Source organism: Homo sapiens, chromosome 9 (assembly GCF_000001405.40).
Source record: "Homo sapiens chromosome 9, GRCh38.p14 Primary Assembly".
In the NCBI taxonomy this organism is placed as follows: Eukaryota; Metazoa; Chordata; class Mammalia; order Primates; family Hominidae; genus Homo; species Homo sapiens.
The window spans coordinates 90,127,051-90,151,251 of record NC_000009.12 but is presented as its reverse complement, the minus strand read 5'-3'; the positions used below and the strand labels follow the sequence as shown (position 1 = coordinate 90,151,251).

Below are 24,201 nucleotides of genomic sequence, written 5' to 3'. Positions count from 1 at the left end.
TGATGGGCTTTCCTTTGAGGGTAACCCGACCTTTCTCTCTGGCTGCCCTTAACATTTTTTCCTTCATTTCAACTTTGGTGAATCTGACCATTATGTGTCTTGGAGTTGCTCTTCTCGAGGAGTATCTTTGTGGCGTTCTCTGTATTTCCTGAATCTGAACGTTGGCCTGCCTTGCTAGATTGGGGAAGTTCTCCTGGATAATATCCTGCAGAGTGTTTTCCAACTTGGTTCCATTCTCCACATCACTTTCAGGTACACCAATCAGACGTAGATTTGGTCTTTTCACATAGTCCCATATTTCTTGGAGGCTTTGCTCATTTCTTTTTATTCTTTTTTCTCTAAACTTCCCTTCTCGCTTCATTTCATTCATTTCATCTTCCATTGCTGATACCCTTTCTTCCAGTTGATCGCATCGGCTCCTGAGGCTTCTGCATTCTTCACGTAGTTCTCGAGCCTTGGTTTTCAGCTCCATCAGCTCCTTTAAGCACTTCTCTGTATTGGTTATTCTAGTTATACATTCTTCTAAATTTTTTTCAAAGTTTTCAACTTCTTTGCCTTTGGTTTGAATGTCCTCCCGTAGCTCAGAGTAATTTGATCGTCTGAAGCCTTCTTCTCTCAGCTCGTCAAAATCATTCTCCATCCAGCTTTGTTCTGTTGCTGGTGAGGAACTGCGTTCCTTTGGAGGAGGAGAGGCACTCTGCGTTTTAGAGTTTCCAGTTTTTCTGTTCTGTTTTTTCCCCATCTTTGTGGTTTTATCTACTTTTGGTCTTTGATGATGGTGATGTACAGATGGGTTTTCGGTGTAGATGTCCTTTCTGGTTGTTAGTTTTCCTTCTAACAGACAGGACCCTCAGCTGCAGGTCTGTTGGAATACCCTGCCGTGTGAGGTGTCAGTGTGCCCCTGCTGGGGGGTGCCTCCCAGTTAGGCTGCTCGGGGGTCAGGGGTCAGGGACCCACTTGAGGAGGCAGTCTGCCCGTTCTCAGATCTCCAGCTGCGTGCTGGGAGAACCACTGCTCTCTTCAAAGCTGTCAGACAGGGACACTTAAGTCTGTAGAGGTTACTGCTGTCTTTTTGTTTGTCTGTGCCCTGCCCCCAGAGGTGGAGCCTACAGAGGCAGGCAGGCATCCTTGAGCTGTGGTGGGCTCCACCCAGTTCGAGCTTCCCGGCTGCTTTGTTTACCTAAGCAAGCCTGGGCAATGGCGGGCGCCCCTCCCCCAGCCTCGTTGCCGCCTTGCAGTTTGATCTCAGACTGCTGTGCTAGCAATCAGCGAGATTCAGTGGGCGTAGGACCCTCTGAGCCAGGTGTGGGATATAGTCTCGTGGTGCGCTGTTTCTTAAGCCGGTCTGAAAAGCGCAATATTTGGGTGGGAGTGACCTGATTTTCCAGGTGCGTCCGTCACCCCTTTCTTTGACTCGGAAAGGGAACTCCCTGACCCCTTGCGCTTCCCAGGTGAGGCAATGCCTCGCCCTGCTTCGGCTCGTGCACGGTGCGCACACACACTGGCCTGCGCCCACTGTCTGGCACTCCCTAGTGAGATGAACCCGGTACCTCAGATGGAAATGCAGTAATCACCCGTCTTCTGCGTCGCTCACGCTGGGAGCTGTAGACCGGAGCTGTTCCTATTCGGCCATCTTGGCTCCTCCTCAATAAGAAGCAATTATAGCAAGGTGCAAGATTAATATACAAAAGTCAAACACTTTTCTATGGATCAGCAATAAATACATAAAATTTGAAATTAAAAACATATTACTATGTACATTTGCACCCCTAATAATGAAATTCTTAGGTATAAGCTGTAAAAAATATGTATAAGATCTATATGAGAAAGACTACAAAAAGATGATAAAAGAAACCACAGAATAACTAAATTAATGAAGAGATATTCTGTGTTCATGGAAAGAAAGAGTCAATATTGTCAAGATGTCAGTTCTTCCCAACTTCTTTCTAGAGACATATATTTTGTACATAAACACGTTTTAAAGTGTGAAAGACTATATCAAACACAACAATTACCTTGGTTTTCTTTTAGGAGTGGTTAGCATTGACAATTTGGGAAAAAAGGCACTTTGGCTTATCTGTAACTTTACTTTGATAAACAGAATAGGCTCATACATTATTTCTGCAATTAAAAATGCTTTCTATAGATTCAATGCAATTTTCATCAGAGTCACAGAAAGTAATTTTGTGAATATCAGGAAATTAATTTTAAAGTTTATTTGCTTTTAATTTTAATTTTAAAGTGTATATGCTTTAAATTTTAATTTTAAAGTTTATATGTTAAATTTTAAAGTTTATACAGTTTATATAAAAAGGAAAAGGACTCAGAATATTGAAGGAGGAGAATAAAGTTGTGGGACTGATACTGCACAACTTCAGGACTTACACTGATCAAGACCATGTGGTACTGGCAAAAGAAGATCCAAATAGATCAATGGAACAGAATAATAACAAGCCCAAAAATAAACCCACATAAATACAGTCAAATGATCTTTCACAAAGGGGCAAATATAATAAAGCAATGGAGAAAACACAGTCTTTTCAACAATTGGTGCTGGAACACTTGGACATTTACATGCAAAAAAATAAATAATGAGTCTTGACACAGACACCCTTCACAAAATTAACTCAAAATGAATCACATAAATAAGTATAAAAGACAAGACTATAACACTTCTCAAGGGTAACTTAGAAGAAAATCCAGATGACTTTAATTTTTGTGATAACTTTTTAGATAAATCACCAAAAGCATAATCCATGGAAGAATTTATAACCTGACTTCATTAAAATAAACAAAGTCTACTCTGTAAAATACACTGTCAAGAGAATAAAAAGACAAGCCACACACTTGGAAACAATACTTGTAAAAGAGACATCTGATAAAGGATTGTTATCCAAATATACAAAGAATTTTTAAAACTCAACAATAAGAAAAAAATCTGGTTTAAAAATGGGCCAAAGACCTTAACAGACACCTCAACAAAGAAGAGATACAGATGGTACATAAGCATATGAAAAGATGTTTCACATCATATGTCACTGTGAAAATGCTGATTAAAACAATGAGATACCACTATACACATATTAAAATAGCTAAAATCCAGAACAGTGACAGAAAATGATAATGAGGATGTGCAACAACAAGAATTCTCATTGCTGGTGGGAAGGCAAGACAGTATAGCCACTTTGAAAGATAGTCTGGCAGTTTCTTACAAAACTATATACACACTTACCATAAAATCCAACAATCATGCTCCTCGAGATTTTACCAAATGATCTGAAAACTTACATCGACACAAAAACCTTCACACAAATGTTTATGGAAGCTTTACTCAGAATTACCAAAACTTGGAAACAACAAGATGTCCTTCAGCAGATGAATAGATAAGTAACCTGTGGTATATCTAGACAATGGAATATTATTCAGCACTGAAAATAAATAAGCTATCAAGCAATAAAAATACACTGCAAAATCTTAAATACATATTAACAAATGAAACAATCCAATCTGAAAAGGCTACATGCTGTATGATTTTAACCGTATGGCATTCTGGAAAAGGCAGAACTACAGAGACTATAAAAAGATCAGTGCTTGCTGGGGTTGTGGGGAAGGAGGGATGAATCAGCAGAGCACAGGGGATTTTTAGGGCAGTGGAACTACTCTGCCTCTTAATGGTGAATAAATGTAATTATACATGTGCCAAAACTCAAATATACAATACCAACAGTGAACTCGAATGTAAACTATGGATTTCAGGTGATAACGATGTGTCACTCACTGTAGTTTAACCCATAGTAACAAATATTCCACTCTTGGTGCAGGATATTGATAGTGATAGTGAGGGTGCAGGATATTGATAGTGGGATATTGATACAAATATGTGGGGAGGGGTACATGTGAAATCTCTGTATCTTTTGCTCAATTTTGCTGTGAACCTAATCTGCTCTAAAAATAAAGTCTATTTTAAAAATATATATGGAGAAACCTTAAAAACATATGCTAAGTGAACAAAAGCCCACATAAAAAGACAATACACTGTATAATTCCAACTATATGACATTCTGGAAAAGGCAAAACTATGAGGACAGTTAAAAAAAAAAAAAGTTCAGCGTTTGCCAGAGGCTTGTGAGAGATATAAATAGTGAAGCACAGGGAATGTTTAGGGCACTGAAACTGTTCTATCTGATACTGCAACGATGCACACATGTCACTGCACATTTGTCAAAGTGTATAGAACACACAACACAATGAGCAAACCCTAAAGTCATCTATTTACACTATTTAATAATAATATATCAATATTAACCCATCAATTATTTTTAAAAGTACCACCCTAATACAAAATGTAAATAATAGAGAAAACTGAGTGTGTGGGGGGGATTAGGAACTTTCTAGACATTCTACTGATTTTTCTATAAACTTAAAACTTCTCAAAAAATTAAAGTCTTTTAAAATTATCTATAAAAATAAAAATAAGAATAGAAAGAAGCAGATAAGCATGACAGATAATGAAGAGAAAAATCAACCAATCAAAACTGATGCAGGTATTAGAATTAGTAGACAAGGACATTGAAACACTTATTATAAATGGATTGTATACATTCAAAATGTTACAAACATGAAAGACACAAGAACCACCCAATCAAACTTCTACAGATGAAAGCAGCATTGTGTAATGAAATTGTACTGAATTAGGCTAATGTGGATTAGATGTTGCAGAAGATTGACAGGTGAACTTGAAGAAATGAAAACAGAAATCAGTCCAGGCATGGTGACTCATGCCTGTAATCCCAACCCTTTGGGAGGCCAAGGTGGGTGGCTGACCTGAGGTCAGGAGTTCAAGACCAGCCTGGTCAACGTGGTGAAATCCCGTCTCTACTAAAAATACAAACTTAGATGGGCACAGTGGCACGTGAGAGGCTGACGTGGGAGAATCACTAGAACCTGGGACGTGGAGGTTGCAGTGAGCAGAGATCGTGCCACTGCCACTGCACTCCAGCCTGAGTGACAACAGGGAAACTCCATTTCCAAAAAAAGAAAGAAGAAAGAAAGAAAGAAAGGAAGGAAGGAAGGAAGGAAGGAAGGAAGGAAGGAAGGAATCATACAAAATAAAACACAAAATGAAAGAAAAAAATAAAAAATGTATAAAGCATCTATCAGCTATAGGAGTGTCAACTAGCCTAGTATACATGTAATCAGATCCCACGAATGACAGAATAAAGTGCAGAAAGAGACAAAAATATTGTTTAAAAAATCCCTTAAAATCTTATATATATATGATAAAAACTAAAATTCCACAGAAGCAAACAAACTTCAAAAACAAGATATGAAGAAAACAATAGGAGTTTCAGTTCTTTGACACCTTTTTTGAGAGGCCAGAAGACCATTTCCCAAGGAAGGGACTCAGATAAAACAAAAGTTTCAAGCTTTAAGATCAGGGAGTCAATTTCTATGATAAAACAAACAAACAAAAACTATCTATGGGGCTATTAGGTTGAGTTTCAAAATCATGGCAAGACAGGCATGTCCACATTCACAACTTCTATTTAACATTATACTTGAGGTATACTTGAGGTTTCAGCCAGTGTAGTAAGATAAGAAAAATAAATAAAATGCATTTATATTGGAAAGAAAAACATAAAACTATCATCATTCACAGAAGCATGATTATCTATGTTAGAAAAGGTAATGAAATATACAATTCTACAAAAGTAATAAGTGATTTAACAAGATTCAGGATACAAGATACAAAAATCAATTGTCTGGAAATACAAAGAACCTAGACCATCCAAAACAACCTGAGAAAAGAATAAAGACAGAGGAATCACAATATAGAATTCAAAGAATTATTATAAAACTGCAGTAACCAAGACAGTGTGGTTTCAGCAAAAACATGAATACTCTTTTCAGAAAATCATGTTGGAATAATTTTATATTCATACACAGGAAAGAAAAATTGGCCTATAATTTGCTCCATAAAAAAAGAACTCAAAATTGTTAATAGACCAAAATTGTTAATAGACCAAAACTGTAAACCTAAAACTATAGAACATTTTAGAAAAAAAAATAGGAGAAAACCTGTGACTTTGGCTTAGACAAAGATTTCTTAAATACGACACCAAAAATAACATCCATAAAAGAACAACTTGATAAATTAGTTTTCACCACAATTAAAACTGTCTGTTCTTCAAAGGATACTCTTACAGATACTGTCAAGAGAATGAAATGACAGGCCATAGACTAAGAGAATACATTTTCAAAACATATATACAGTAAAGAAGTTTACTCAGTAAATATAAAAAAACTCTCAAACTCGATACTAAAAAATAAATAACCTAATTTTTTTAATGGGCAGAAGATTTAAACAGATACTTCACCAAAAAAGATGCATGTTTTGCAACCAAGCAAATGAAATATCATTAGTCATAGGAAAAATCAAATTAAAACCACAATGAGAGGGTAGTATGCACCTAATACAATGGCTCAAAGTAAAAGCACGGACCACACCACATATTGGAAGAGGTAAAGGAGCTGGAACTCTCCTGCTGGTAGAAATGTGAAATAGTATAACTGCCATCAGAAACTTTCTGTTGATTTATGAAAAGGTTAAATGTTTCACATTGTTAAAAAGATTCTACATGTAAGTGAGATGTAATGTTTTTCTTTCTATATAAAAAAATGCAAGTATACAGAGACAGAGAACAAAATAGTGGTTACCAGGGGCAATGGGTGGGGGGCAGGGAGACATGGGGGTCGGGGGAGTGGTAATGGGGAGATGTAGGTCAGAGGATACAAAGTAACAGATATGTAGGATGAACAAGTCTAGGGATCTAAGGGAGAACATGAGAATTATAGGTAATAAAATCGTGCGATATATGGAATTCATGCTAAATGAGTAGATTTTAGTTGTTCTTGCCATGCACACACAAAAAAATGGGTAACTATGTGAGATGATGGACATGTTACTTTGCTTCAGTACAGTACCCTTTTTACTGGCTATATGTGCCCCAAAATGTAATGTATATCTTAAATATGCACAATAAAATTTATTTTTAAAAAAATTGAATGTGCACTTAATATATGATCCCTCTCCAAAGCATTTCCCTCAAGGGCAAAAAAAAAAAAATGGGTTTGTACAAAGACTTTCACACAAATACTTACAACAGCTTTTTGTAAATACTAAAAACATTAGAAGCTATCTAAATGTTCATCAAAAAGTGAAAGGATAAACAAAATGTGCTCTATCACACAATGACACAAAGGAATGAAATATTAATACATGCAACCATAAATGAATCTCAAAAGTGAAAGAAGACAGACATAAAAGTATATATGTAAAATTCTAGAAAAGCAAAATTAATTCATAATGAAAGAAAACAGATCAGTAGTTCCTTGGCCATGGAAGTAGGAGAAAGGAGGGAGGTACAAGGGGTACAAAGAGGTACAAGGAAAGTTTTTGGGGTGTAGTTATGTCAGCAATCTTGATTACGGCGATTGATTTATAGGTGTGTACTTCTGTCAAGGCTTTTTAAATTGTACACTTTAAATATATGTAGTTTCTTGCATATCAATTATACCTCAAAAAATTATAAAACCATAAAAAAAAGCACTGGGAAATTTTCATTTGCTAGTTTCTAATAATCACATTTTGAAGGCAAGGGTGCTTACCAACAGGGATTTTGTAAAACAGCCACAAAAGAGAGCACTATGAAGCTTTAAAGAATGATAAATATCTCTAGACTTCCACTTGTAACTGTGATAAAATAGGTTTATCAGATCACCATTGCCACCAGGAACAACCAGAAAACCTAAAATGAATATGTGTCGTTCATATATTACACAGATGTTGATACATAGATTCTATCCATCTATCTCTATATATCTATCTCTAGACAATGATGATCTGATAAAACTTATTTTATCATGGTTACTAGTGAAAGTTTAGAGATATTCATCATTTTTAAAGCTCCATAGTGCTCCTTTATTGGATCCTACCATATCTTTAAGAAGGGAAATTGTAATTTTAATACCTGTACTACAGAGAAGACATATTGTAAGCACAGATATTAGATTTTCTACTTAGTATATGTGTAAAGCCCTTGGGTCATGGTAGGAGGAACAATGCCTCACAAAAGACAGAAAATATGAGCTTGAGGAGGCCTGACTAGGAATGAAGACCTCGACTCATCATTGCTCTCGGGTCCTCACTAGGAAAGCATTCAAACTCCTACCTAAGCCGGCAAACATAAATGTAGCACAGCCAAGTGTTAAATTTTGAACATTTTCAACTTTCTGTACTCCCGTGGATGGATTCCTGCTAAACCATTGCATTTTCTTAACTCTGAGCATTGGCTGTTTTTATTCTTAACAACTTCCTTACAGCATACGTATGTCAAATTCAACCATTGCTTAGAGAGAAATCATGGCAAGAAAAATCAACATTTCTTCATCTACCTCTGTTTTATTCTAGGGCGCCATCTGCTGGCCAATACCTTTCTTCTTACTTTCAAAAATTGTTCTGATTAATGACACTGGGCAAATTCACAAAGAAGAAAAATTAGTTTGGTTGAGTCCATCAGCGTCCATCCAGGAATCTGGCCAAGCTGTTTTACCATTACCTCTTTGGAAGTAAAGTCAGAAGACTAAGACTCCTTAACGAGAAAAAGACACTGATCTAGATTTGGCGAGGGTGGCGGGGAGAGGGGGGTGGGAATGAGAGGCAGGGACCTCTCAGATATAGCTGTGACAAGCAGGTACATGCTTCATCCATTTTGTAAACAATGCAACAGATCAAGAGTCCTAAAAATGTCCATTCCTTTTGATTCTCAAATAAAATTCTGTGAATCTATCTTTCAAAAGGCCAGAGATGCGGGCAAACAGGTACATGTATGACTATAAATGTCTTATTTATAAAACCTTCACTATATCTATGGAGATATAGAGGCATATACAATATACATCAATTATAATTTTATATTACAATTTTAAAGTCTTGAGAATAATGTAGAAAAATGTCTAGGATACAGTGGTAGGTAAAATAAATTAGGGAACTAAACGATTTTTTAAGTATGATGCCAATTAACTACAAAATATATGAATTTAAAATAAATTGCAGAGAAAGAGTGGTTAGCTATGAATGTGGTATAGGCATTACAGTTTAATTTTAGTTTGTTTATCTGACTTTTGATATTTCCAAAAGGATATATAATAAATATTTTCCACTTTTGTAAAAACTCATATATTTAATGTGAGCCCGTTTACATTTGAAACACGTTGCAATGGTATGGGAAAAAGAAAATTGCATACTTTACTTCCACCTAGTGGATTTAGGAGAAGTTGCAATCAGAAACCCAACGCTTTCTTTAAAAGGTAAAACATTTAAAAACAAAACCAAATGTAAGAGCAGAGAGGATAGTGCAGAAAAGGGGAGAAGAGGGGAGGGAAGGGGAAAGGAGACTCAAGGTGGGCAGGAGAGGGGAAGGGAACAAAAAAGGTCATGTGCGCAGCGGCTGTATAGAAACATGCAAAATCTAAAAACATTAACATTTTAAGCAAAATGTCACCACTGGTATTTATACAGATTAAACAAGCTCTGTTTAAATAACAAGTCTCAATACATCTTCTTTAATATGATACTAGATTACCTCTACTTGTTCCGTCCGCAACCCCCAGCCCCCACTATCCAGCAACTGCTCCCTACTGGCTGCCCCAGTCTGCCCAGGCCTAAACAACAACGCCCTGCTGCCTCTGTCCTGACCTGTCACTTTTTGCTGGGGTGCCTGGCCTTCTTCACATCTCCTTTAAATATCCTGCTGCCCGAATGAGTTTTCTTTTGAGAGTTCTCTGTGCCCTTAAAAAGATCAAATCTATATTCTAACACGAATCCTTTCAAGTCGTTCCCTTGTTTAAAAATCCTCAAATGGTTCTTGTCACTGAAACTAACATCTAAATTCCTTAGAGTACTATCAGGGGCACGGGATGACCTCAACCTTGTCTCCGTTTGCAGATCCACCTCCCTTTACCCACGGTCCCCATCACAGCAGGCTCTCTCCAGCTTCAGGTGCTTGCCTGCGCTGTGCACTTTGCCTGGAATGCCTTCTCACTTTACCAACTTGTCATACCCCTGTGCACAGGCACCTGCTCCTTTGTGAAAACGAGTCACCTGGAGAATTGTAGATGTATCTATAATGATGGAACCCTAAGATATGATCTTTCCAATGGCTAGAACTAAGGGAAATTTTATGTGCATGTCTGTATCTATATAAAGATCTATATCAAGATCTACATGTATACTGACAGAACTAACTTTGGAATTAGAAGCTATGCTGCTGACAGGTTACATATTTCTGGAAAGTTATTTGCTAATTAGTGCCAGATATGATGTTAACATATCTGACAAAAAAAAGTGCGTTTTTTTTTCTTTATACCTGCAGGTTTTACACTTGGCTTAGAAATGAAAGCCAAGGTTATAAATTTGAGTTATAAGTACCTGACCGGGGAGAAAAACACAGAAGTGTTCAGAGAAGAAGGATGAAAACCAGGAGCCGAGAGTCCTAAGAACCAGGGAAGGGTTCCATTAAGCAGAGAGGAAGTGGTGATCCATGACAAAGCCAGGGCCCAGGAGGCAGGGCTGAGAACTCTGCACTGGGCAGCTGGTGGCATGCACAGAGAGAGGAACCTGGCAGAGAGATTAACGCAGGAGCAGATTCAGCAGGATAGGAGAGCGGCAGCTGAGGAAACCAAGGCAGCCAACGTGGGTCCCTTGCTCAAGAAGCAGGGCGGAAGGAAACAGTTCCCTTCCAGGCTGAAAGGACTATCTGAAAGATCAGGAAGAAGAGCAGTCTCTGGCCCGACTCCACTCCTCTGTCAGGGTGGGATGTGCAGAGCTCAGTGTCCCCCAGCCCTGGCTTGCAGGGGCAGGGGCTGTGCCAAGGTGGGGGCCACAGTGAGTGTAGGCAGCTCCAGAGTCCTGCAGCCCAGGCCTCAGCCCTCTGCCCAGACCCAGGCACAGCTCATAACTTCCTTGAGATTTAAAAAAATAAAAGGCCCCTGAGGGACACACAGAGTGTGTGAGGTACACTTACTGCCACCACCAAGGAAAAACAGTGAAAGAAAAAAAAAAAACTTTTACCTCTCTACCCCAAAAATGTCTTCCTTCCTTAGTATTCTCCAATCTTCACTCCCTTCACCACTGAATAAGAGGAGTGAAGACAGCCCCAAGAAGCTGCACATGATCTGTTTAAACAAGAGCTCGCTTGAAATTCAGAAAGAAGCCAATGGCCTTTAAAAAGCCAAACAACCGGCCAGCCTCCGTGGCTCATGCCTATAATCCCAGCACTTTGGGAGGCCGAGGCGGGCGGATCACCTGAGGTCGGGAGTTCGAGACCAGCCTGACCAACATGGAGAAACCCTGTCTCTGCTAAAAATACAAAAATTAGCTGGACATGGTGGTGCATGCCTGTAATCCCAACTACTCGGGAGGCTGAGGCATGAGAACTGCTTGAACACGGGAGGCAGAGGTTGCGGTGAGCTGAGATCACGCCATTGCACTCCAGCCTGGGCAACAAGAGTGAAACTCCGTCTCAAAAAAACCAAAAAACCAAAAAACCAAACAACCAAAGCACCCTATCCTGTCCCTTCTTACCTGAGGTACCTCCCTGTATTAGGCAACCACATACTTTGAAAATAATGACTTAGGAGGAAAGGAAGGAAAGAGCAACCCACGTTTCTTTTCCTTGAGTGCTTCTCACTCATTAGTCAGCCAAAGGTAGAGAGTTGGTAGAAAGTGTGCATATCATGAAGTGAAATAAAAGCAATTGACTTTATTTTGTGCAGCATTTCCACCATTCTGGTAAGAATGAAATACATATGCATGTATGAGCTACAAAATGCAACTGCCAATTTTATGTAAAGATGAATGGTAAAATGCATGCTAATAATTAATAATGGTAATTTGTCTTTACTTATTATGACATTAAATAGCACATTTGAAAACATCATGATAAGTCAAGAGAAAAACTATGGAAAATGTAAAAACATGATATGTTAGCACCTTTAACGGCACTTTTATTCATGTATTTTGTAAAAGTGTTCATATTTTCATTTTGTTCTGAATAAATTACGCATTCAGTTCTGTCCACAATCAGCTTCTTACCAAAGCCACCAGGAGCCGTACTATGTTCTTTTACGGAAACAAACACAGAGCATTACAGACAAATCCTCACTCTTGCCACATGAAATATTGGCCACAAATCCCTATCTATTCTCTTGGCTGTGAATGAAGCTGCACCACGGGTGACTTTGAGAAACTCTTAGATTAAGGCCCGCATTAAAACATTCGTGCATGCAGCCTGCTCCTTGCCTACTCTATGTGGAGCTCCACCATTCCCACTTAGCTTCCAAAAGGTGAGGGCATCTTGAAGATGAGAGGCACCTCCAGGCCCCATTTTATCACTCAGCTGCAAAGATGGCAGGACAAACTTCAGTACCCAAATGACAACCCAAGAAAGAAGTTGCCCTTGACCATTTCTATTTACAATCTCTTTCCTCTGTCCACTAAAAATACCACCACCTGCCACATCAGCTACATTATATATCCTTTTTAAATACTAATGTTATGTATTTTGGAACAGATAATATATAAGCATGATTCAAAAGTACTGATTTTAGAGGAAATTTTCTCTGACCACAGTAAAATTAAGGTAGAAATCACTAATTTCAAAAAAAACCTGAGTTTCTTTATAATTGGAAATTAAGTAATACAATAGTTATATTTTGAATTCCCCCAAAAGCAGATCTGGAGATAAGAGCATAGTATAGAGAGTCTATTTGGAAGGTGCTCTCTGGAAGCAGCAATGAGAGAATGGGAAAATCCAGACAAGGAATCTGGGAAACCCAATGATGTAAAGTATCTGGTTTGTCCAATGATGACTTGATTGCTTAGGAACCTGTGACAGGCATAAAGCACCCCAGAACTTACCAGTGAAGGAAAGAAGGCTGAGACATTTATATACCAGCTCCACTTGACCATGGATTGAGTGGCCTTAGAGGTCAATTTCCCTCCAAGGAAATTTGAAAAAGGCAAACTCCTCCAAGGAGTTTGAAAATGGTAGATAGAGATTGACTTCCCTGTATTGGACAACTGGATTTGTGCACAAGTCAAGCAGCCTCCCAGAGAATCTGAGTTGTCCTGGAGCAGAAGTAGAGAGTTACACGGGTCACACTTGAGGTGAGAGGCTGTCAACAAGAAAGGAGCTCACTGCAGCTGCAGCTGAAACCAGAGCAGACTGGGAGATGAAATGTTGGCACCAGAAGCATCAGACACAGCTTCTAAATCATCTACTGGTCAGAGAAAACAATAACAAAGGAAACTAGAAATGCTTTCAACTGAATGGTGATAAAAATACAGTGTAGAGCTTGTGAGACACAGCTAAAGCTGTATTCACATGAATATATTATAAAATTAGAAATTTTAGAAATTAAGGGGTTTAATATCTAACACTGAAAGTTATAAAGTGAAGATCAAATTAAATCAACGATAGTAGAAGGGAGGAATTAATAAAGATGCAAACTTACACTCTGGTTTCTCTCCAGATCATATAAATTTCTCGCCTTTTCTAAAGATGCAAACAAAAAATAACAACATAAAAAATAACTGCAATAAAATAGAAAATAACTACAAACAAATTCAAGAAGAGAAAGAATGTACAAATTACCAATTTGGGGATTAAAAATGGAATACTACTACAGACCCTACATACATTTAAAAGACAAAATGATTGTATGCAAAACTTTACACCAATGAGTTTGAAAAAGGTAGATAGAAATTGACTAAGGTCCAGAAAGCCTCAATTATAAAATTAACACAAGAAACATAGAACCTCTGAATAGTACTAAATCTATGAGAGAAAATTTATCAACAATTAAACATTTTTTTCTACAGGAAAAGAAATTCAGGCCTAAATGCTTTCACCAGTAAATTTACTAAAATTTTAAGATAGAAATGATACCAAATTATTCTCTATTTCTTTTATGCAAAAACATAACTTGATATCAAATCTGACAAGTACATTACAAGAAGGTGAAATCACAGATCAATCTTCTTCATAAACATAAATGTGAAATGCAAAAATCTTATAATATTGGCATCATATAGACATCATAACAAAGCTGAGTTTATTTCTAAGACTGCAATAATGGTTGAACATTGCTAATCAGTCAATGTAATTCATTAATGGAATGACAGATAATTCATCATAATTATATTATTAGATGCAGAAAATACATGTGAAAAAATTCAACATCTGTTCATCATTTTTAAATTAATAAAAAATAACCTAGCAGACTGGTAATAGAAAAGAATGCCCATAATCTGATAAATGGTATCTACATAAACCTACAACAAACATCACACTTAAGTATAAAAAGTTGAAAGCTTGCTCATTTGAAATAAAGAGGAGACAAAGATTACTTCAATTTGACATCATCTTTGAGGCTTTAACTGGTGCAATATGGCCAGGAAAAGAAATTAAAATTGCAAGAATTAGAAAAGAAGAAACACAACTGTCATTATTTGCAGACAATATGTTTGGGTATGTAGAAAATAAAAGTGACTCTACAAGCAAATTATTAGAATTTAGAAGTATATTTAGCAAGGATGCTGAATACAAGAATAATTAGCAAATACCAATTGCATTACTATATACTAACAAGAACATTAGAAATTAACGTAAGCTATTACTTATAAACCATCCTAAACTTGCAAATAGATCCAGTGAAGCAAGATTGCCTCACAACAAGCTATAAGGTATTACTTGTAATACCTTACTTAAGTAAATGGCAGGCTATACTGTATTAATGGATTTGATGATTCAATTGTATATAGAGGCCAATGGTCCCCCCAAATTATTTATAGATTCAACACCATCCAAATTATAATATCAGCAAGTAGTTTTTATAGTTATTATCTAGCTGATTCTAAAATTTGTATGTGTATAAAGTGTCAAGAATAGCCAAGGAAATATTGAAAAATAATAAAGTTGGAAAGCTTCTTCAAATATCAAAATGTATGATAAATTTACCTTAGTTAATAAAGTATAGAAATTGGCACCAGGAAAACCAAATAGATGAATGCAAGAGACCAGGGAGTATAAAAACACAACTGCACATATGTAAATTTACTTATAAAAAAATGAAACTGCAATTCAGTAAAGGGATGATATGCTTTCAGTAAATTTGATGAGTCAAATGGTTATCTGCACAGAAAAAAAAAGAAAACATAACCCACCTCATACCATTCAAAAATCAAAAATCAACTCCAGTTTATTTGCAGGTCTAAATGTAAAACGTAAAAAATATGAAAGTTCTGAAACACAACATGGAGAAATATCTTCACAATATTGTTATGAGGAAATGTTTTAACCTGACAGGAAGCAGTGAACATAAAGGAAAAGATCGATAAATTGGATTACTTTCAAGATTAAAAAGTTCTGTTCATCAATTAAGAGAATGAAAAGGCAGGTCACCAAGTGGGAAAAGGTATTAGCAACATATAATACCAAAAAAGACTGGTATCCAAACTACATAAATTGTTTATAAATCAATAAAAATACAACTAAATAGATAAATAGGCAAGAAATTTGAACAGGCACATGACAAAAGTGAATATTCAAATGACCCCAACAAATCTTGTTAATCTGTAAGGAAATGAAAACTAAAACCGCAATGAGATACTGCTACATACCTAAGGCAAAGTTTAAAATTATAAAGACTGAAAATTGTCAAGGATGTAAAGCAACCGAAACTCCCATAAACCTCTGGTGGTAATGTAAATCTGTTTAACGACTGGAATTGTTGGAAAAAATTGGAATTACCTTGTAAATTTGAAGAGTAACATACCTTAAGCCACAGCAATTTTATTGCTTGTAATATACCTTAATGCTAATTGAATACCTAATATATGCCAGAAATTCAGTTAGAGTTTCATAAATGTATACTCATTTATACATCCTAAGAAAGCTTTACCATGTATGAAGCAGCTAAATAGCTGGTTGAATGTCATACTGCTAGTACCAATAGGAGGGAAATTCCAACTTAAATCTGTCCAACTTCAAAGCTCAAGCATTACCCTGCATTCGCTACATGTGTGAATTTAATTATATGAAACGAGCATTTTCTTAATATGTTATTTGTAACAAGCAGCTATGGTGCTCACCCATATCCCTGCTCTACTCCAGCTCGAGCCTCTGCAGCTCCATCCCTGAGGGCTTCCTCTTGGCCTTCACGTGGAGCAGAGCAGAAGAGCCACAGAGCTGAAGCCTTGCCAGCAGCCCGCAGCCAGCGGGATGGGAGTTGGAGGATGATCTTCCTGCTTCCTTGTCCCGGGGGTGGGTCACGTCAGGTGTGCTCCAGTCTCCCTGAAGTACTGGAGCCCCGGTGGCCGGGCGCGGTGGCTCACGCCTGTAATCCCATCACTTTGAGAGGCCGAGGCGGGTGGATCACGAGGTCAGGAGATGGAGACCCTGCTGGCTAAAACGGTGAAACCCTGTCTCTACTAAAAATACAAAAAATTAGCCGGGCGTGGTGGCGGGCGCCTGTAGTCTCAGCTACTCAGGAGGCTGAGGCAGGAGAATGGCGGGAACCTGGGAGGCGGAGCTTGCAGTGAGTCGAGATCGCGCCACTGCACTCCAGCCTGGGCAACGGAGCGAAACTCCGTCTCACAAAAAAAAAAAAAAAAAAAAAAAAAAAAAGGAAGAGAAAGAGCCCGGGTTACCTGCTTCCCTCCCATCCTTGTCTCACCCCTCCCCTACTGTGCTTTCCGGGTATCACCTACCAAATCAACCCCTTGACTGGAATTGCTGTCTCAAAGTCTGTGTAGGAACCCAACCCAAGAAAACAATCTGACTTAAGGATAGTAACCAACTCTTTAGATTAACACGTTAAGTATTTTAAAATGCTGCACACCATTTTATATTAATAGATATCAAGACCACATTACTCATTATACATTGAAGGAATAAGAGTAATCTGTGAATTATCACCCTTTGTTCCTGTAATATCTCCTCCAGAAGTTTGTCAACATGCCTAAAATTTCTACGAAAATGTATGATGTTGGCCGGGCACCATGGCTCACACCTGTAATCCCAGCACTTTGGGAGGCCAGGGCAGGTGGATCACGAGCTCAGGAGATTGAGACCATCCTGGCCAACCTGGTGAAACCACATCGCTACTAAAAATACAAAAATTAGTTGGGCATGGTGGTGCATGCCTGTAATCCCAGCTACTCAGGAGGCTGAGGCAGGAGAATCGCTTGAATTAGGGAGTCGGAGGTTGCAATGAGCCAAGATCGCACCACTGAACTCCAGCCTGGGTGACAGAGCAAGACTCCGTCTCAAAAAAAAAAAAAAAAAAAAGAAAGAAAGAAAAGAGAAGAAAACACGAAAAAGTAAAGGTATGATGTTGCCCTTAAACAAGTAGTTTTTAAAGTTTTTTAAAGTAACATACACCTTTCAAAAAATGTAAGCAAAACCTCGATATATAATTCATAGAAAAGCAGTGATTCTTTCTTTTTTAGAAAAGAAAGTGAGGGCTCAGCATTTCAACCACTAAAGCATCATTCTCTTAAAACTCCTCTATTCCAGGGTATAAAGTCAGAACACCTCTGTGTTTGGAATTACATGACTAAGAAACTTTTGTTTTTAATGTGATACTTCTGGAAGAGTTAATGCCTTTATCTGTTAAAATGTAAAACTCCAAAGGAAAAGAGAGAGAACATTGACCACTGTGCTGATGGAATTATTACCAGAATCTTTGTTCTTTTGCACCTAAAAACTCTGCAGGATGAAAATTATCATTAAATAGTTACAAATAAGAAACAAGTCTGGGAGGGATTAAGAAACATGCCCAAGATAACATGGATGATAAAGTGAGAGTGAGACTTGGATTCTATTCTTTGCAGTTTCAAAGCTTATCTGCTTGATATTACACCACAAGAAAGCTAACTATTGTATTAGCAAGAACATGGGGAAAGGAGACCATTAGACTTAGCTTGTTATTGGGGTGATTGAGCAAACATGGAGCCAGAATTGAGCTGAAATGGGAAAGCTGAGAAAGGAAAAGGTGAGAAGGCTGGACATCAAGAGTTCTATTTTGTCTAGATGCCCCCAGGCAGACACATGAGATGCAGGATAGGCTGTTGGAAGCAGCTGTGGAGGAAGAAGGGGTCAAGGAAGATTTGTTGTTACAATGAACAATACTTAACCCAGTAGAGGAGCAGAAATGATGATGTAGGGCAAAGAGCAGATAATTGTTTGTAGAGTCTCACTTGAGAAGCTGAGGATGTAGGGCAGCCAAGATGTAAGTGTGCATTCAGAAAGGAGCAGAGATGGATCCATCATCACAGGAAATAAGTGAGAAGGCATAGCAGGCACTGATGCAGATAGGTTGGTGGATGAACAGTGCAAGTAGAAGGAGTTTTATCTTATTGCTTCATATTTATCCTACATAAATAAGGCAAAGTTATCAGCCCAGAATCAGCAGCGGAAGGAAGGTGGTGTTGAAGGATGGAGGAACAGAGAGGTGTGGAAAGTTGTTTTGGAAACTGGGTGAATGAGCACCCTAGGGTTTGTAGCAGAATGGCTTGGCAGTCGGAGAACTTACTTAAATTTGAAGTAAAAAGTTTGAAAATAAAACCATTGACTACTGACTTATTTTTTCCCAACAAGTCCAGGTCATTTGGTGTATATCTGCAATAGTTAGACAGTCAACAAGTATGACAGAAGGAGAGTGGAGGGAGGAAGTTAAAGGAGTTTTTCAGGAGTAGGTTAAGGACAGTACCATAGACTGATCTGAGTAAGGAAGAAGTGAATATCTTGGTGAGGCTAGCAATAATAAAGCCTAGACATCATCCCACTTAGATCTCCATCTCCAAGGGCTGGAGATGGAAATGAGGTCTGGGAACTGCCGGTGGAAGTATGAGGGAATGTGAGCTGGAGACTAGGGGAAAAGGTAATGGAAGGGGATTGGAGCTCTGTTCTCAGGAGTGGTGATGTGATGGTGTGAGTTGTCATACTGGAGTGAGGAGCTGATGTGGGCCGGGGAAGAGGCACTGGGAAATTATTGTGTGGGTGACTGAAGCCTGGGGACACTGAGGTTATGAAGCATGGTGGCCAGAGCTGAACAGAGAGGAAGACGCTGATTCCAACATCGTCCTTGTGTGATGAGCAGTGACCGGGCTGTGTGGGCAGTGAGGAAAGAGAGTGGAAGGGGATGTGTGTGTCAAGGAAGCTGTCACATGAAGGGGTGCGGAGGAGGAAATTGTGGACACTTACCTGTGTCTGTGACTGGAGGGATGTGGGGTGGAAGAGCAAAAATATCTCCACTTGCATGAGGGGACGCTACAGTTTCAGCTGACATGAAAAGGAAAATCTGAAAAGAAACTGAGGATACCAGATAGCCGTTGTGGACCATGTGGAATTCCAGGCTGTACAGCAGCATAGCACGTGGCAGGGAAGGGTGGGGCATGACGTCTGATGACCGTATTTCAGAATAGAGTAGGTAAAGCTCTTAATTGCGATAAAGGTGACCCCCAAGGTTTAGATTTGTGGTGGGGACTGAGGTGAACACAGACCAAAGATGCAATTAGTCTCAGAAGTCTTATTTTGAGAAGGTGAAAGTCTAAGTTTGGGGCAGCGAGGTCTCCTCACTGGGATGGCCCTCCTCTCCTCCTCTAGGCAGACCAGGGAGGCAGGATGGAGCAGGAGGGCTGCTGCGGACACTTGCATCCTGCAGAGAAGAGTTAGTGGCTCTCGAGAGCCACCACCCTGGAACGAGGTGATTTTGATATCTCACCTACATTGTACAACGTGACAGCCACTCACCACATTTGTCTTTTTACTTTTTTTTTCCTTTTCTTTTTTTTGAGACACGGTCTAGCTCTGTCATCCAGGCAGGAGTGAAGTGACACAATCTCGGCTCACTGCAGCCTTGACCTCCCAGACTCAAGAAATCCTCCCACCTCAGCCTCCTGGGTAACTGGGACTATAGGTACATGCCACCACAGTCGGCTAATTTTGTTCATTTTTGTAGAGACAGGGTCTCACTATGCTGCCCAAGCTGGGCTTGAACTTCTGGATTCAAGCAATCTTTCCGCCTCGGCCTCCCAAAACACTGGGATTGCAGGCATAAACCACCTCACATTTAAAATAATTTCAATCCTCTGTCTCACTAGCCTCATTTTGAGCACTCACTAGTGGCACACGGTGCTAGTGGTTACCACGCTGGGCAGTGCAGAAGGGACATTTCCATCACCCCACAAAGTTACACTGGATAGCACTGCTGTAAATCTATGGGCTTCTTTATCATTCCAGGGATGTTCAGAAGTCACCTAGCTGTCCTCATTTCTCTTTTCTAATTTAAAATTGCATATGTACACTGTGGAATACTATACAGCCATAAAAAGGATGAGTTCATGTCCTTTGTAGGGACATGGATGAAGCTGGAAACCATCCTTCTCAGCAAAGTAACACAGGAACAGAAAACCAAATACCACATGTTCTCACGCATAAGTGGGAGTTGAACAATGAGAACACATGGAAACAGGGAGGGGAACATCACACACCAGGGCCTGTCGGGGGTTGGGGGTGCTAGAGGAGGGATAGCATTAGGAGAAATACCTAATGTAGATGACTGGTTGATGGGTGCAGCAAACCACCATGGCACGTGTATACCTATGTAACAAACCTGCACGTTCTGCACATGTACCCCAGAACTTAAAGTATAATAATAATAATAATAATAAAACTACTTTGCACTCATTGATTTGTTTTTCATCCCCCCTCGCTTTTCCAAGGTTGGCATGCATGCTCATGCTACTTATTTCTGACCTCTCAATCCTGGGTGCTAATGTGTCAGTTAGGCCAGGCTGCCTCCCTTCCCTCTCCTCCTTCATATGTTATCTTCATGTTGGGTTTCTCCTTCCCCGTTGTGCATGGTGTCTCCTGTGTAAATTATGCTCAGGACTGTTCTAAAAGGCCATGAAAGCAGTTCTAAAGTGAACATTTTTCACGTCCTGATGCCTGTCTCCTGATAGCTTCTCCTTCCTGTCCAAATATTAAAGTAGTTATCTGCATTCATTTCAGCTTCCTCCCAATCTGTCCTCCAGCTCTGCAGTTTGATTGAAATTCTTCTTCCAGAATTGGACAGAAACCTCAACAAGGGCAGAACTTTCCCCAGCCCTCCTGCTCCTTTCCTCCTCTGGTGACTAGGCACACACGCAGCCTCCATGGATCTCTGTTTCGTGGGTTCTCCTCCATTCTTTCTGCCTCCTTTCTTGACCTGCTGCCTCTTTTGGTCTTCTTATTGCATGGTCCCCAAAGCCTCTTTCCCTCATTTCCTGAATATTCTCTAATGGAATCCTGCCAAATCCCTGCCTTTCCCTGGATTTCACTCCTGAGCACCCAGCCAGAACTTTCCTGTTGGTTTAATCATCTGGATGTGCCAGAGTGCCACCAGCTCATATACCCTCCTCTCCATGAATCTACCTTGCATTGAATGGGCCACTCCGCAGCAATGCCAGCCTGTTTTCTCTCAGCAAACATGCCCTCTGCTCTTCTGTTTCCAGAGCCGAGCCATCTGTCCTTCAGATATGGAAGCCAGAAGATCACTTCCATCGGCACAATGTCCACTTTACTGCTGACCATAAGACGAGTGGTCTCTGTGTTTGCTAATCTGTGTTATCAAGCTGTTCATGCATAAGGACCTCCATGATGCTAGATTCCATCCATTTGCACACAGTTTACCACTCCATTACTAGTTATCACTGCAGAAAGAACTTGGTCCAGGTTCTATTCCATCTGGAGCATAATTTTGAAAGACCTTCATATTCCCAGACAATCAGTCCTGAGGAATGAACAAATACATGCCCTCTATGGCCTGAGATGGCCACTAATAAGGGTCAACCCCACATGGCTGGCGCCTAGCTACAAAAGAAGGTCACACTAATCAAGGCCAGGTAGTGGTCAGACAGGAGGAGCCCAGCCCTTCTTGGGGAAGGACATGCAGACCTCTGGAATTAGGTCAGAGTGAGAGAACTAGATTGTGGGTTGTTATACAACCACAAATAAAGAGGAACAATTCCCAACATGTCATAAATAGCAACTGAAAACAAATATGTCAACTTCGATTTCCTGGGAAATACTGTCCTTTTTATCTGCTGTTTATTGTGTGCTCCAAAACGCTCGCCTGAAGACATTTTTAAAGGGATTTTTTTTAGAGTACTCTAAACAATGTAAAACTGAATACATTCTATATTTTCAACCCCTATGCCAATCTTCAATTGGAAAAAGCTTTCAGGTTAATCAGCAGGAATGTTCCCAATTCAACAGGCGATTCAGTGACTGTTTATATGGGTTGCTTTTTATAGCACACGGCTTACTATGTACATGGGCAGTGGGAACAGTAGTCCATACCAGGGACAGAGCATCCTGTCGCTGGCACTGAGGAGCCTCCTCCAGGAGAGGAGAAGGGCTGCTTTCCCACCTATCTCTTCATGCCTTGGGGCAGGATGTGGGATTTGAGTTGCTTCTCCATTTATGGGGACAGGTCACACCAAACTTTGTGCACCCTCTTGCCCTGCCCTGTTTGTGATTGAGGCACTGACCGGAATCATGTCCTTCATCACACCCAAACCCTTGGCACTGGGGACCTAAGAGACCCTCTGAGCCCCCTCCTTTCATGTGTGCTGGGGGGTGGGGAGGCTGCTAAACTCATTCAGAATAGAGAGGCTGAAAACCTCTCAGAATGGCACTGTGAGATCAAGCATTTAATCCTACCTCCTTCGCCCACATAGAAATCATAGGTAACACAAAAAATAAGGTAAAAACAGGCACACATAGTTTCATGGATCAGAAATGGGTCAGAAACATAGAGGGAAGCTTGAGGCCTGAGACAGCAAGCTGCAGCCTCATAGCCTTCAGAAGTGGAAAGAGACAGAGGTGTGATCTCTTACACTCCTGAGAGACAACCACACTGAAAGCACGCTGTTTGTGTGGAGGATGAGAACTAGGTGTACTGCATAAGGCTGCTGAAGCTAGCGCTGGTGACACAGGCCATACCCGGGGAGCGGAGGGCACAGGCTGCTCAGCAGACACATGCATAGTGCCAGGACCTGGCCAAGCCACTGCTACCTCGAGAACTTGATCTCAGATATACTGAGTGTCACTCCAGGACAGGAAGCTCAGGCTGTCCATACAGGAACTGTGGCCTTTATGAAGCCATAGGGATAAGGTGATGAGAGCAATAATGAAGCTTCTAAAACATCTGGGGTGATTACAGAGAAAAAACTAAAATTTCTTCTTCAAGATGCATTTGCAAAATAAAATTCTGACCACACAGCAGAAACCAACACTAACCAGGCAGCAAATACAGCAGAGTATTCACTCAAGACTAGCAAAGTAGCCCAACACAGCTGTATATTACAGCTGTAATATAATTTTTTCATATCTTCTGAAAGACAAAAGAGGGATATAGCTGCATTGAAAAATATTATGAAGGAAAGCACAGGGAACATGTGTACCTAAAAAGTAATCAATTAGAAATGTTAGAAATGGCAAATATAGTCATTGAAATTTAAAAAACTCTTGAAAGACAGTATAAACATTATCTATCATTTTTCTCTTTAAAAGAAAGAATATTCAGGCCAGGTGTGGTGGCTCACTCCTGTAATCCCAGCACTTTGGGAGGCCGAGGTGGGTGGATCACGAGGTCAGGAGATCGAGACCATCCTGGCTAACATGGTGAAACCCCATCTCTACTAAAAATTCAAAATAATTAGCTGGGCATGGTGGTGGGTGCCTGTAGTCCCAGGTACTCAGAAGGCTGATGCAGGAGAATGGCATGAATCTGGGAGGCGGAGCTTATAGTGAGCCAAGATCGCACCACTGCACTCCAGCCTGGGCAACAGAGCGAGACTCCATCTGAGGGAAAGAAAGAAAGAAAGAAAGAAAGAAAGAAAGAAAGAAAGAAAGAAAGAAAGAAAGAGAGAGAGAGAGAGAAAGGAAGGGAGGGAGGGAGGGAGGGAAGGGAGGGAATATTCAGTAAATAAGAAGATAAACTAAATAATATCTGCCTACACAGCACAGAAAGAGAAAACAGTTGAAGATATAAACTCATGTTTGAAAAACTCACTGAGAATTTTTCAGACTG

The 24,201-nt window shown here is 39.7% G+C and overlaps 1 annotated feature.

Moving 5' to 3' along the window:
• Positions 745-1,377: an enhancer, noted in NCBI's record as "NANOG-H3K27ac-H3K4me1 hESC enhancer chr9:92912157-92912789 (GRCh37/hg19 assembly coordinates)". NCBI's record gives its function as "activates a minimal SCP1, AML or CMV promoter by ChIP-STARR-seq in primed H9 embryonic stem cells {active_cell/tissue: H9 hESC(primed)}" and the evidence as "EXISTENCE:reporter gene assay evidence [ECO:0000049][PMID:30033119]".